General features: G+C 41.2%; 1 protein-coding gene across 5 annotated transcripts in view, besides 2 other annotated features; it reads left to right on the top strand.

Moving 5' to 3' along the window:
• Positions 1–3,008: 3,008 nt before the first annotated feature.
• The window catches only part of GPNMB (glycoprotein nmb), a 28,334-nt gene continuing 15,454 nt past the window's right edge, over positions 3,009–15,888 (top strand). For 4 of the 5 annotated variants that reach the window (XM_005249578.4, NM_001005340.2, XM_017011678.3 and 1 more), the window contains exons 1-4: positions 3,009–3,161; positions 9,541–9,693; positions 10,403–10,546; positions 13,126–13,299. In XM_005249578.4, coding sequence (XP_005249635.1) covers positions 3,092–3,161; positions 9,541–9,693; positions 10,403–10,546; positions 13,126–13,299 — 541 coding nt within the window. In that variant the 5' untranslated portion in view covers positions 3,009–3,091. The remainder of the gene's footprint in view (positions 3,162–9,540; positions 9,694–10,402; positions 10,547–13,125; positions 13,300–15,888) is intronic. The other variant, XM_047419776.1, reaches the window with a different exon arrangement.
• Positions 4,461–4,580: an enhancer, noted in NCBI's record as "active region_25723". NCBI's record gives its function as "activates an Ori minimal core promoter by ATAC-STARR-seq in GM12878 lymphoblastoid cells {active_cell/tissue: GM12878}" and the evidence as "EXISTENCE:reporter gene assay evidence [ECO:0000049][PMID:35858748]".
• Positions 15,011–15,211: a silencer, noted in NCBI's record as "peak6433 fragment used in MPRA reporter construct". NCBI's record gives its function as "represses an SCP1 promoter by STARR-seq MPRAs in K562 erythroleukemia cells {active_cell/tissue: K562}" and the evidence as "EXISTENCE:reporter gene assay evidence [ECO:0000049][PMID:32103011]".

The raw sequence follows: 15,888 nt of genomic DNA on the forward strand, positions 1-15,888 counted from the left end.
GTGAAACCCCGTCGCTACTAAAAATACAAAAAATTAGCCGGGCGAGGTGGTGGTCGCCTGTAGCCCCAGCTACGCGGGAGGCTGAGGCAGGAGAATGGCGTGAACCCTGGGGGGCGGAGCCTGCAGTGAGCCGAGATCGCGCCACTGCACTCCAGCCTGGGCGACAGCGAGACTCCGCCTCAAAAAAAAAAAAAAAAAAAAAAAAAAAAGTTGACTATTCTTTGCTTTCCTCCACATCATTTCCGAACAGAGTAATTGTATCTGTAATTCCAGATAATTGAGATGTTTCCCTTTTCATTTCTCAATTGCCTTAAGGCGAGTTGATTAGCAACCTTCATCCCCCCAGCCATATAATATATTTACCAGACCTGGCAATTAGGATCTGAACGGAACAATTTTTCTTTCTTTTCTTTTTTCTTTTCTTTTCTTTTCTTGTCTTTTCTTTCTTTCTTTCTTTCTTTCTTTCTTTCTTTCTTTCTTTCTTTCTTTCTCTTTCTTTCTTTCCTTTCTTTCTCTTTCTTTCCTTCCTTCTTTCTTTCTTTTCTTTCTTTTTCTTTCTTTCTTTCTTAAGAGATGAAGTCTCACTACATTGCCCAGGCTGGACTCAAACTCCTGGGCTTAAGCAATCTTCCCGCTTCAGCCTCTGAAGTCACTGGGACTTCAGGTACACATCAGTACACCAGCTCAAAAAATTATTTCAACAAAATATTTCAAACTTTCTTTACAGTATAATTTTATCTTTCCAAAACAAACAAACAGGCTTGAGAATATTCTTTACCCAAAATGGCCCTGTCTCTGAGTCCTACATAGAGTTAACTACTTTATATATTATCAACCATTGATTATCAAGAAACAGATTATCCAACTTGTAGTTCTTTGGAATGAAGATCTTTCTCTTGTTCTCTTATTCACCTCTGTCCAGCTGCCTACATTTTGACTCTTGTCCTATCAGTGCCTCTTCTCTTTGATGGTGCAGGGAAGGAAAAAAGACATAAAAGTTGATTTGATCATTGTGTCTCCCTAAACAAAACGAAGGTTTTGTTACAGAAGAATTTAACACTTCCAATTTATTTAGAGACGGGGTGGCTAATCTGGCTAGAAATATGAGCCAGAACTGTGTCTGCAACAAAGGACAAAAATATCTTTAAAAATGTTAATAGTAGCTTTTCCTTAAATTGAAAAGGTGTTTTTTTTTAATTGTAAAAGTTATGTGTTTGTCATAAAAAGCAAATAGTGCTGTAGGCAGCTGAGGTGGGAAGATCACTTGAGGCCAGGAGTTCAAGACCAGCCTGGGCAGCATAGTGAGATTTTTGTCTCTACAAAAAATAAAAAGCAAATAAAAAATTAGCCGAGTGTGGTGGTGTGTGCCTGTAGTCCTACCTACTTGGAAGGCTGAGGTGGGAGGATCACTTGAGCCTAGGAGTTCAAGGCTGCAATGAGCTATAATCATGCCACTGCACTCCGGCCTGGGCAACAGAGTGAGAGCCTGTCTCTAAAAAAAAAAAAAAAAAAAGTTTTTAAGTAATTTAAAAAGCAAATAACTATATACATTATTCGCTTTACATTACATGAAACTAATAAGTATTTCCATTATTCCTTTATTCATCAATATTTGAAAATTGTTTCAGTCATGAATAATGTGTTCCTTTCGTTGTTTTCCCCTTCATATTTGCTGCAAAGGCTGTAAAAGGCACTCTACAGAGTTGTTTGCCGCCTTAGGGATGGAAGTCAGCCACTCCTGCTGTATGGATTTTAGTTTCATAGGCTATTTCCATTCCTCCTTGACACACTGAACCATAAATCAATACCCCAAGTTTTACCCTCACCTGCAACCAAGGTTTCTACTGCACTGAAAATGGCCATGTGAATGTGAGTTTGAGAAAGGTCACATATGGTAAAGTTTTCATGTTGCCACATTTTCTGCATACTCTGTAACCAGGAATGATTTGACTGTATAAATTTATCTTACAGACACACTTGTTTGTACATTTAATGCCTGCTTTCTATAATATGAAAAAATACACAGAACGTTTTATGCAATTGGCTCTGAGTAATGCAACACATAAATGCTTTGAGAGCAGTTACCAAAAATTATGCAGGTTATTACAAAAGTTATATGGAATTGCACAGATATTCTAAATGTGCTTTTGAGTAAATTTCTCAGCTACCAGAGGCCTGGGCAGCTGTTTCCAGCACATCCTGGCACAACATTCATGTTATCATCCACTTATGTATTCCACAATTTCAAATGATTGATAAGACACCTCCCCCATCTTTGCTTCCTCTTGGAGGAAAAAAATATACAAGCAATCACGAGCACAGGAGCAGGTGGACAACTACATCTTAGGAAAGGGTGCGTAACTGTGAACTCTAAACGTGAGCTGGGTGCCTGATGCAGTATAGGAACCACAGTAAGTCGATAATCAGTGAGGCTGGAGGATTGAAATTTTATTTGGTAAAGAATATTGAGCCAGGCGCGGTGGCTCATGCCTGTAATCCCAGCACTTTGGGAAGCCGAGGCGGGCAGATCACAAGGTCAGGAGATCGAGACCAGCCTGGCCAACATAGTGAAACCTGCCTCTACTAAAAATACAAAAAATTAGCCGGGCATGGTGGCGGGCACCTGTAATTCCAGCTACTCAGGAGGCTGAGGCAGGAGAATGGCTTGAACCTGGGAGGTGGAAGTTGCAGTGAGCTGAGATCGTGCCATTGCACTCCAGCCTGGGAGACAGTGTGAGACTCCATCTCAAAAAAAAAAAATGAATATTGAAATAGAGTCTATAGGAAAAAAACTCCTTGAATCTAGTAAATGTGGAATCACAAAATTGAAATAATGTGCATCTGAAAAGTGAATAAATAGATGCCAAGAAGGAGTGAGTCATAAGCACATGAGTTGTAAGAGGTTGAACTTGAGAGACCAGATCAGGCAGTGCCGCTTAATACCATCACATGATCCTCCCCGAGGCCCTGTATTTAATTAAAATAGAGAGGGAGGCACCACAGATGCCAGAAGAACACTGTTGCTCTTGGTGGACGGGCCCAGAGGAATTCAGAGTTAAACCTTGAGTGCCTGCGTCCGTGAGAATTCAGCATGGAATGTCTCTACTATTTCCTGGGATTTCTGCTCCTGGCTGCAAGATTGCCACTTGATGCCGCCAAACGTGAGTAACCCTTAATTTCTATGTTTAACCCATTCTCTGGCCATTGGCTGAAATGATGGCTAATAATATCCTCTGAACTAGAGGTTGGACTGAAGTTCTTCAGGAAGCTTTCATCTCTGGCTCACTCATCTCTTCTTCTGCAAACTGTTGGGAAGGCTGAAACTACAGCAAAATGCCTCCAGCTCCATTCTTTGCTTTCGGCTCATGGAAAGTAAAAACTATGCTGCCCTTCTCTTGTGAAGCTTCTTTTCCATTGCAATTGCAACCCATTCTTGCCAGACAGTGGTTGGGGGAGGGTTGGACAGCCTCCGGCCACAGAACAAAGCAACTCCACCAACTAAACTATGTCCAGCTTCCATCCAAAAGGGTGGAGACCTCACATGAAATGGGGTCTCCAATCTGGAGGCAAATTTACGAATCTCCCCAGCCCTGAAGCTATTGCTCCTCCTGCGGGGCTTCCTCACAGACCTGCAGGAGCTTGCTGGGAGAGGAGCTGAAGCCCAGGCTCTCTACCCTGGTCAGGCAGGAGAGGCCAGGGCATTTTTAACAATACTGATACCCACGCAATGAAACCGGAATCTTTGGGAGTGGGGTCAGAGGATCCTTGTTTTAAAAGTTCCTCTTGGGATCTGCCTATGCAGCCAGGGTCCAGACCACTGAAGCAGTGTGCAGATTCGCGAGAGGAAGAGAGCTGAGCCGCTGTAACCCTGGGCCTGGGATTGCGGGGACGGGACGGGTGGGAAGCGGCCAAAGGCGCAGCGGCTTCTGGTCAGAGCCGCAGAGGCCTGAGACGTGGGCCGCGCCCCGGCCCAGGAGACCCCGCGGCCGCGCCCTAACCCTCAGTCTCCCGACTGCGACTGCGACCCGGGAAAACGCCTACGTTTTTGGAAAGGAAGTCCCATCACAGGGAGCTGACCCGGTGTCAGCGCGCAGCACGTTCCCGGCCCGCAGTGCGCCGCGCGTCCTCCTAGCAGCCCGCGGAGCCCGGCACTGTGATGGTCCCGCTTCCCACACGAGGCCACGGGCCACAGAGTGGGCAAGGAACTCGCCCCAAGCCACACAGCGGGTAAGTTGAGGAGGCAGCCTTCCATCCCGACCTCTGTCCTTCCTGCCCGGGTTTGGGGTTGGACAGGCTCGGGCTCCCCGCCAGCCTAGGGGCTGGGTCTCCAGTGGCTTTGCTCCATTTCCTCATTTCCTTCAAAACGAGGAGTTTTCGTTTCCTCATTTGCAAAACTGGGTAATTGTGTTCTTGTGAGATCAGCTGCTTGGCGTGAGAGACGTGCATGGTGGGGATTGTTCCTACGGAGGCAGACCTGCACCCACCCTCAGGATACCTCCCAGGACAGGCTACTTTAAAGACGAAGGAACACAGAATAGACCCGATGGGGGACACCTGCTATTATTCCACCCTCTTTCACCAGTCCACTTCGCTCTGCTCAATAAAACAGATTAGCAGGAGGCCGAATCAGCGCTGTCAGCTCGAGAGGAGTCCTCAGCCTCTTGGGCAGTGTAACAAAACCCAGCCATTCACCAGGTTCACCTTGCTCTGGACTAAATATTCTGCCCAGAAAAAAATAAGGGCAGGCAGAATGTAGCAGTGTATCAAGCACTAAAGATTTCCTACCATTTTCCATTCGTAGCCCTGAAGGAAGGAGAAAGTGTGGACAAGGTAGGTGGAGGCAGCCCAGCCACCACCTCTCTGCTGGTGGACACAGCAAGGATGCCAAAGTGTGGAGGCAGAGTCGGCTGCAGCACTGGGTGCGACCTCAAATTTACCTTCACATTGATTGCCCCCAAAACCCACCCCCACAGGCTTTTATTTTTCTTTTAAAATCTGCTTACTATTGGGTTTTTTTTTTTTTAATCAATTTTTTTAGAGACAGGGTCTTACTCTCACCCAGGCTGGAGTGCAGTGGTGTGATCACAGCTCACTGCAGCCTCCAACTCCTGGGCTAAAGGTGATCTTCCACCTCAGCCTCCTGAGTAGCTGGGACCACAGGCACGTGCCACCACACCCAGATAATTTTTGTATTTTTTGTAGAAATGGGATCTTACTACATTGCCCAGGCTGGCCTCAAACTTCTGGGCTCAGTCCTCCCTTGGCCTCCCAGAATGCTAGGACTACAGGCATGAGCCACCTTATCCGGATGGGTTTATTTTATTTTTTAAATTTTTGTAGAGACAGGGTTTTGCCATGTTGCCCAGGCTGGTCTGGAACTCCTGGGCTCAGGCAATCGCCCACCCTCAGCCTTCCAAAGTGTTGGGATTACAGGCATGAGCCATTGCATCCGGCCTTTATTTTTAAATTCAACTTTTTATTGTGAGGTATTTATAGATTCACATACTGTTGTAAGAAATAATACAGAGAGATCCCCATGCACCCTTTACCTGGTTTGCCCCAGTGGTATCATCATGCAAAACAGGACATCACAGCCCAGATATTGACATTGATACAGTGAAAACACAGCAGAGCTCCATCACCAAAGTATTCTCATGGCTATAGATGTATAGCCAAATCTACTTCCCTCTTTCCAAACCTCACCCAGTCCCTGGCAACCACTAATCTGGTTTCCATTTTTATCATTTTGTAATTTCCAAAATTCTATACAAATGGAATTATCCAGTATGTAACCTTTTGAGATTTGCTTTTTTTAAAACCCAACATAATTTCCTGGAACTTTATTGATTTATTGAAGTAACTGCATCAATAGTTTGTTCCTCTTTGTCACAGAGTAGTATTCCATGGTATGGATGTACCACAGTTTGCTTAACCATTCACCCATTAAAGGACATCTGGGTTATTTCAATTTGGGCTATTATGAATAAAGCTGCTATAAATATTCATGTGCAGATCTCTGTGAGAATATCAGTTTTGTTTCTCTGGGATGCATGCCAAAGGGTACAATTTCTTGGTTGTATGATAGTTGCATGTTTAGTTTTGCAAGAAACTAACAGAGTGGCTGTACCATTTTACATTTCCACTAGTAATGTGTGAGCAATCCAGTTTCTCTACATCCTTGCAAGCATTTGATGTTGTCACTGCTTTTTAGTTAGGTCTTACTGATAGGGATATAGTGATATTTCACTACTGGCTAATGATGTTGAATATCTTCTTGTGTGTTTATTTGCCATGAGATGAATGAAATGGTGAAATATCATTTCATTAATTTTTACCAATTTTTCTAATTGAATCCCGTGGTTTTCTTATAGTGAGTTTTGAAAATTCTTTATATATTCTAAATACTAGTCCTTTATTGGAAGTGTAGTTTACAAATAATTTCTCCCAGTCTGTAGCTTGCCTTTTCATCCTCTTTCATGTCATGTTTCAGAGAGCAAAGGTTTTTTATTTTAATGAGTTCCAATTTCCTGTTACGGGTTGTGTTCATGTCAAGTCTAAGAATTCTTGCCTAGTCCTAGATCCTGAAGATTTCACCTATGCTTTTTGCTTTTTTACAGCACCATATGTTGAAAAGGCTATCTTCCCTCCATTGGCTTGTTTTTGCATCTTTGTCCAAAATCAAGCCAGGCACTGTAGTGCTTGCCCGTGGTCCTAGCTAATCGGAAGGCTGGGGCAGGTAGATCACTTGAGCCCAGGAGTTTGAGTCCAGCCTGAGCAACATAGTGGGACCCCCATCTCTTCAAAAAAAAAAAAATTAGTAGAGCATGCTTGTGTGGGTCTATTTCTGGATTCTCTCTTCTATTCCATTGACCTATGTGCCTATCCCTTGTAACTCTCCTTTTAAGTTTATACTTTTCCTGGGCTTCTGACATTTAAAATCGGAAGAGAAATCTGCGTTTTGATTATGTTCCTGGAAACAATAACTTTCTTTCAAGATCTGAGGAAGAGGAAGACTCTCTGGAACAGTGGAAAGAACTTGTCCTTGTCCTGGGAATCAAAAGATGTGAATCTTGATTTCTACTAAAGATGACCCTAGGTGAATCATATCATTTCCCTAGGCCTGAATTTCTTCATATATAAAATGAAGGGATTTGAACTAAATAATCTTAGTTCTTTTCATATGACTCAAGTGAATTTCCAATTACAAATACTTATTGATAAACACAAATGTCCTCCCCTCACTTAATGTCTATTTCCAAATAGGAGCAATCTCATAGAATCACAGGACATTTGGCTTTTGTCAGATGTGAAGGCCCAGAGAAGACACATGGCCTGAGGTCACACATCCTGTTTAATAACAGAACCAAGGCTAGAAAACATGTTCCATGACTCCGACTTTGCTGCTCTTTCCCATTCTCTCTGCCTCCTGGAGAAGAAGGGAACGTGTTGCTCCCTTCTCCTACCAGAGAAGAGGAATAGAAGGAATAGGTCAGAGACATGCATCCAATATGGCTTCTCTGAGCACCCACTCAATACCACACCTCATGGAGGATCTCTCCCAGGATTTAAGAGAAGAACAAGACAGAGTTTCTCTCCTCCAAGAGTCTATAGCCAGGCCAAGACATAGAACCACAGAAATTAATGGGAGAACAATTTAAGACCATTGGCTGAGGAATACAGATAATTGAGCTTTGGGCTGTAACAAAATAGGTTAAGACATTTATTATCTTAGTCAGTCCCGAGGTAAGCAAGACTAGAGCAACAGCCCAACAGTTTCATTGAAGGCTCCATTTCTTTTCATCTTTCCACTCTGACACCCTTAATGTGTTAGCTGTTTCCTCAGATTTGTGTCCTCATAGTTAAATATGGCTGCCATAGCTCTGGGCATCACATCATTACACTACCATCTCCAAAATCAATTCTGAGGAGGAAAAAATTGAGTTTGTTCTCACATATCTCTTGTTATAAAGGAGGAAAACCTTTCTCAGAAGTTCCCAGAAGACTGCTTCTCAGCTCTCACTGGCCAGGATCAAATCATCTATCTGCTCCTGCCCAAATTGTAAGGAAAACTAGGAAGTGATACTCTGGAATTTTGAACTGTTAGAGTAGAAACTCTGCCAGCAAGGGGAAAATAGGAGGAGGCGTGCAGGCGGGAAACAGCTTCTTGGAGGCAACCAACCAGTCTGCTACAATTCTCAAAAGAAAGAGACCATGTGACCACCAGACTGGTCAGGCAAGGCAAAATTGCAGACACTAACTCAAGATTAGAAAGATTTTTAAAAGAACTGTAATATTACAAACCTAGAGCAACCACTCAGAACAAAGTAAGTGAAAGAGGTATCACTAACAAGCTAGTTGTAGAGATAAAATGGAATCCAAATGTAACTCCAAAGAGTACAGGAAAAGAAGGAAAAAAGAACAAGTGGAACAAATAGAAAACAAATAACAAGGTAGTACACTTAAAATTTCATCATATTGATCATTACATTAAATGTGAATTATCTAAACCCTGCAACTAAAAGGCAGAGATTGCCAGACTGGATTTTTAAACATCCAATTATATGCTTTCTATGAGAAACTCACTTCAAATATAAAAATGCAGACAGGTTTAAAATGTAAGGATGAGTAGAAACATACATCAATCTGAACATTTTTTAAAGTAAAAGAATGGAAAAAGATATACCAGTTAAACACTAAGCATTCATATCAAAGTATTCTTTAGAACAAGGGATATTACCAGGGATAAAGAGCATCAATTCTTATTGAGAAAAGGGTCAGTTCATCAAGAAGCTGTAACAATTCTAAATGTATAGTATGCACCTGACAACAAAGCTTCAAAATACATACAGCAAAAACTGGAAGAAGAAACAGGCAATTGGAAAAACCACAATATAGTTGGAGATTTCAAGATTTTTCTCTCAGTAACTCAAATAACAAGTAGAAAATCAGTAGGAACACAGAAAATTCAAAAAAACACTATCAACTAGCTTGACATAAATGACATTTAAAAAGAAAACACTCTACCCAACAAATGTAGACTACACAAAGTATATGGAACATTCACCAAGACAGACCATTAAAAAGCTGTTTATCAGTAAACTTCCTGGTACTAGTACGTGTCGCTTGGAATCTTGAAGGCATTCCTGAGCCTGGCATTCCTTTAGCCAAGTGAGTAGTTCAGAATGGGAAAAAAAAATGCAAAAATCTGAAGATTATTGGCATCAGTGTTTTCCTAATAATATTGTATCAAATTTAAATATTCAGAGGATGTGTATTGAGAAGCCAAGTGATGGCTAAAAAATATTGACTTTCAAAATTTTTCTTTGATTCATTTAAAGTTCATAAAGACATAGGGTCTGAATGCTTGTAATCAAGGTATTTCCAGGAGACTTCCTTTAAAAAACAAAGCACCCTCTGTTTACTTGATGCACTGAATATATTATGTATGTGCTTTTCAACAGTAAGAAATAAAAAGTTTCTTTAACCACTGTGAGGTGATTACTAAATGAAGAATGGAATTTGTTTCGAATATTGATACAGGATTTCATGATGTGCTGGGCAATGAAAGACCTTCTGCTTACATGAGGGAGCACAATCAATTAAATGGCTGGTCTTCTGATGAAAATGACTGGAATGAAAAACTCTACCCAGTGTGGAAGCGGGGAGACATGAGGTGGAAAAACTCCTGGAAGGGTAAGTCAAAAGATTCAAACCAAACACCTGCAATTTCCTACTTCAGTAAGTCTTGTAGATGGTAAAGCCTTTTAGATCACACGGCTCACGTCATTTCCACGAATGACAGTGCTCTCATTACCAAGTGGGGAGGCACCTGGACTTGGCAATATTTTCTTTAGCCCAACACTATCACTTCCTAAACCACAAGTAATCTCCTTAGAAATTTCCACATTGGTAGCTCTTGGAATACTTTTGAAGGGTGAGCAGATTTAGCTTTAAACCTATTTAGCCAACCTGGGAATGATCATCTTCAGAAACCCAGTCACCCCAAAGCCATTTTTACTGTCTCAAAGGTGTGGCTTATCAGAAACGGAAAATCTTTCTTTTTAGATAAAAGAATGCATCCTTCAGCCATTGGTTTCGAGATTTAAAAATGCAGACTTCTAAAACTTGTCTCCTTAACCCAACAGAGCTGATTTGTTTTATTATCATAGGTAAATGTTCTTGCTGTGATTAGAGAATTCTTAACTGGTCTGATTTATTTTTTAATTTATCTTCTAGAGTGTTGTACTCTGAAAGCTAAAGTGAGGAATACAAAATATAAATTTAATATATTATAAAGAGGCATATGGGTCCTCTGGTCCTTATTAATAAAGTTAGCTCTAAATGTTTATGAACGAAAGGAAAAAGATGCTGGATCATCGAGCCCCACTTTTTTATACCCTAGGAGGCCGTGTGCAGGCGGTCCTGACCAGTGACTCACCAGCCCTCGTGGGCTCAAATATAACATTTGCGGTGAACCTGATATTCCCTAGATGCCAAAAGGAAGATGCCAATGGCAACATAGTCTATGAGAAGAACTGCAGAAATGGTAAGAACACAGTATTCTCCTAAACTACTGGAGACCCAGTTTCTAAACCTTAATGATCACAGGTGCTTCTGTAAGTGCCAGATGCTGATCTCATCCCTTGCCACTGCACTCCATGAGCTGGATGACAGAGACAGTGAGTGTGTGGTCCTACCCAGTGCCTTCATCAACATCAACGTCAGCCAGACCTACTGCAGCAAACCAGTGGCTCTCCCTTGCTTGGAGCCCTCTTCAAAAGCCACATCACCACCTCCTGCTTTTCCTTAGTGTCCAGTTGACTGGACAGAGAATACCTTGCTGAGTCTCAGATTTTGCTTTTATTACTTGGAACTCTTTTGGCTACTCAAAGAATAGCCAATTTGACAGATGTTTGCTGATCAGTCTAATTTAGGCTGACAAGGATTTCTCAAGCAAATGCTGTGTAGCTGGCGCAAATGCTAAAATGTGTATATTTTGGTTTTGCTTTGCTCTTAGTGAAAGAAATAAGCTCTCTATCTATGTTAAAGAGGACCAAAGGTGCAAATACATCAAGGGAAATTATCTTGTCAGAATGGTACATGCTCAAAAAACGGAGTTAATGGCCGGATACCATGGCTCATGCCTGTAATCCCAGCACTTTGAGAGGCCGAGGCAGGTGTATCACCTGAGGTCAGGAGTTCAAGACCATTCTGGCCAACATGGTGAAACCCCATCTCTACTAAAAATATAAAAATTAGCCAGGCGTGGTGAGATGGAGTCTTGCCTTGTCACCCAGGCTGGAGTGCAATGGCGCGATCTTGGTTCACTGCAGTCTTTGCCTCCCGGGTTCAAATGATTCTCCTGCCTCAGCCTCCCAAGTAGCTGGGATTACAGGCACCCACCACCATGCTCAGCTAATTTTTGTATTTTTAGTACAGACGGGGTTTCCCCATGTTGGCCAGGTTGGTCTCAAACATTTGACCTCGTGGTCCGCCCGCCTCGGTCTCCCAAAGCGCCGGGATTACAGGCGTGAGCCACCGCGCCCAGTCAGCATTTGTCTTTCTATGCCTAGCTTATTGCACTTAACATCATGGCCTCCAGTTCCATCCATGTTGCTGCAAACGATGGGATTTAATTCTTTTTATGACTGAGTAATATTCCATCACATTTTCTTTATCCATTTATCTATTGATGGATACTTAATTTGGTTCCATATCCTGACTATTGTGAATACTGCTGCAACACAGGAATACATACATCTCTTTGATGGATTGATTTCCTTTCTTTTGTATATATTCCCAGCAGTGAGATTGCTGGCTCATATGGTAGCTCTATTTTTAGTTTTTTGAGGAACCTCCATACTGTTTTCCATAGTGGTTGTACTAATTTACATTCCCACCAACAGTGATATACTGTTGGTGATTTGTATGACTTTTTTGAGAAATTGTCTATTCAGATCTTTCAGCCATTTTTGATTAATTTTTTTATTGATACATGATAATCATACACATTTCTGGGCTATGCGTGTTATTTTGATACATGCATACAATTTATGGTGATCAAATCAGGGTGATTGGGATATCCACCTCAAATATTTATCATTTCTTTGTGCTGAGAACATTCCAAATCTTTCTCTTTTTTTTTTCTTTTCTTTTTTGAGACAGAGTTTCACTTTGTCACCCAGGCTGGAGTGCAGTGGCACAATCTTGGCTCACTGCAACCTCCACCTCCCAGGTTCAAGCAATTCTCCTGCCTCGGCGTCCCAAGTAGCTGGGATTATAGGCGCATGCAGCATGACTGGCTAATTTTTGTATTTTTAGTAGAAACGGGGTTTCACCATGTTGGCCAGGCTGGTCTCGAACTCCTGACCTCAAGCGATCCGCCCATCTCGGCCTCCCAAAGTGCTGGGATTACAGGTGTGAGCCACTGCACCCAGCCTAAATCTTTCTTCTAGCTGTTTTGAAATATACAACAAATTGTTGTTAACTATAGTCACCTAGATTCAACAATTTTAGCACTTTGTCATAACTGCTTCTTTCCATATATCTATAATCATATGTAGATATAAGGATAGCTATATATATCTATCTACATCTAGAGACAGAAAGAGGGATTTTAAAAATCATTTAAAGCATCAAAAATAGCCAAATATACAAACCTTGATTGGGGTGATAATGGTGTCAGGGCTATTTAGGACAATGCTCTTATTCTTAGACATGTGTGCCGGAGTCTTTATGAATAAACAGTCATGATGTCAAGTGTGTCAGGAAAAAAACCTACAGAAAGAGGTGTGTCAAAATAAAAAGATAAAGTATCTCTGATTTGAATAGGATTGTGACTTGAAAACCCGATAGGAAGAAAAATACATTAAATGATATCTCTACATTGGATTTTTCTGAATAATTGCTTTGTATAAAACCTTCATTGAAATATAACAAATTCAGAAAAGTGCACAAGTCATAAGCATACTATTGGATGGATTCTACATATTAAGTGTTTAGTTGTCTAACTACTTTTAAACTAGTTATGAAAAAAATACGAAAAAGTGTTTAATTCAGTGATGCATGCACATTGGGTTTTCTGAGCCTAGATAACACTCATGGCTGGTTTCTATCTCTGTTTAGAGGCTGGTTTATCTGCTGATCCGTATGTTTACAACTGGACAGCATGGTCAGAGGACAGTGACGGGGAAAATGGCACCGGCCAAAGCCATCATAACGTCTTCCCTGATGGGAAACCTTTTCCTCACCACCCCGGATGGAGAAGATGGAATTTCATCTACGTCTTCCACACACTTGGTTGGCTTTTACAAACCCCTAAGCTTCTTCTTTACCTTTCCTTAAAATTTCAACCTTCTCTTTTCTTACTCTATAATTGAGAATGATAACACAGAGAGTTAATAACAGTCACCCTGCTAACTTTCCTTAGCATGAGTGAACAGTGAGAGATAAAAATGAAATCTTGGTTAACCTTGCCAAATCTCCAGGACACCGAAGAGTTAAAAAGAGAGAAAAACAAAAAGATTAAGCTCTTTTTCAAAAAAACAAAACCACTTAATTTTTTTCTACCTAAAACCATAACAAGAAAAAATGCTAACACTTATTTATTTGAATGGCACATGGAGACCGGGCATGTGGCTCACACTTGTAATCCCAGCACCTTGGAAGGCGGAGGCGGGTGGATCACCTGAAGTCAGGAGTTCAAGACCAGCCTGGCCAACATGGTGAAGTCCCGTCCCTACTAAAAATACAAAAATTAGCCAGGTGTGGTGGTGCGCACCTGTAATCCCAGCTACTCAGGAGGCTGAGGCAGGAGAATCACTTGAATCCGGGAGGTGGAGGTTGCAGTGAGAGGAGATTGAGCCATTGCACTCCAGCCTGGGCAACAGAGTGAGACTCCATCTCGAAAAACAAACAAACAAACAAAAAACAGAATGGCACATTGATGAGCATTCATTGATTGATTCTTTAGTTTTTTTATGTTCTCTAAAGAATTTTTAAGATTTAAAGAAGCATGTGCTATTTATTTGTAGGAAATCCTCAGAAAAGGTACAAATAAAAAATAAAAATTATCCATAATTAATACCAGAGATTATAATTGTTAATTATTATGGTGTTTTCTTTGCTAGTATTTAAGATCATTATTAAGATCACATACACATTTTTGCTTACTATCATTAGCATTTGATGATATGATTTTTTTAATTTTTATACATTGTTTTAATGGCTGCACGATATTTCATTGTGTACAAATAAAATAACTACTGTTCCGCTTTGACCTAGCCCATTCTGTCTTTTTTTAAATTACAAATGGTATTCATTTTGTTGTATTATTGGGGAAATGATTACTTTTAGAAGGAGCAAATTGAGCTTATTATTAATTAGGCTGCTAAATTCTTAGTTTAAAATGTCACTAGGTGCCACCTGGCACTGAGTATTTGAAAATTGCTACCAATCAAGCAGCCTCCAGATTACTAAATATTTCATCTTTCATCACAGATTAGAGAGAGCTCCTCTTCCTTCAATTAACTTATTTACAAATCAGGACAAAATATTAACAATACATACCCATTGAACAGAGTATAAGCTATGTCAAATATTATGCTCATCTATATAAATCAATTGCCTTAAAGCTAACTTATTTTTCACTGCCATTACGACCCCATTAGCCAACTCACCAAACATTTCTTTGACTTGTCACTCTCATGACAGAATTCTGACATTTTGCATGGAGTCACTTATGTTCACTAACACTCGCCGACTCTTTAGCCTAGTAAACATTCCAATAACTTAACCAGATCAAATGTCTGTATTTAAAATCAACTTTCAGCCTAGAACTTGCTCTGTTTGTCTAACAAGACTGCCTTGAATTTCTGTCTTCCACTGAGGTCTCAGAGTTAACTGATATTCTCCCTCAACTAAGTATGGTCTCACCTCTCAGAGCTGAAACTAACATTTTCCTCACGAATAACCCCTGAGAGACATCTCTTCCCCTTATAACTTCTGATGGAACTACCCCTGCATCTCAACGTGAAGGAGGATTCCAAACCACACATCCCTGGAGAGACCAGTGTGTTTTTCTCACACGTTTGACGGTGTGATACACGGGGTCTTGAAACAACCCGGTCTCAAAAGCATGCAACCTAAGATACCCAGTCAGTGACAGGTCTAAACCAGGCCCCCTGGCAGGATTAGAAAAGTTCTTGATTTGGGAATGATAGTAAGAGGAGTTACAGAGTTTTAAAATTTGTTTAAATGTCCTTGAGCCCTGAAGGAGAGGAATTACTTCCACCTGTTAGCTAGCAGCAGGGAGGGTTGGACAAAGAAAAGGAATGACTCAGGGGTGTCCTAGGAAAGTGCCTGTGGAACCACCCCATTCTGTTTTATGTCTGCCATCCTCTATTTCATCACTTACGGGATTTTTATTTTTATTTTTTTGAGACAGAGTCTCGCTCTGTCACCAGGCTGGAGTGCAGTGGTGTGATCTCAGCTCACTGGAATCCCCGCTCCGGGTTTAACCAATTCGTCTGCCTCAGCCTCCCGAGTAGCTTGGATTACAGGCTCGTACCACCACACCTAGCTAATTTTTTGTATTTTAGTAGAGATGGAGTTTCACCATGTTGGCCAGGATGGTCTCCATCTCCTGACCTCGTGATCCGCCTGCCTCGGCCTCCCAAAATGCTGGGATTACAGGCATGAGCTACCGCGCCCAGCCACTTGCTGTATTTTTATATACAAATACTATTAGGAGATGGAGGATTCCAGTCCCCTTTTAAAAATCCACTTAATAATATAGCGGAAATAGTAACAAAAATAAGGTAGGTTATTGGATAAATAATTTTTTTAACTCTTCTGGACACCTCATCATTATATTAAATGTATTTTCTA

Source organism: Homo sapiens, chromosome 7, assembly GCF_000001405.40.
Source record: "Homo sapiens chromosome 7, GRCh38.p14 Primary Assembly".
NCBI classification, from domain to species: domain Eukaryota; kingdom Metazoa; phylum Chordata; class Mammalia; order Primates; family Hominidae; genus Homo; species Homo sapiens.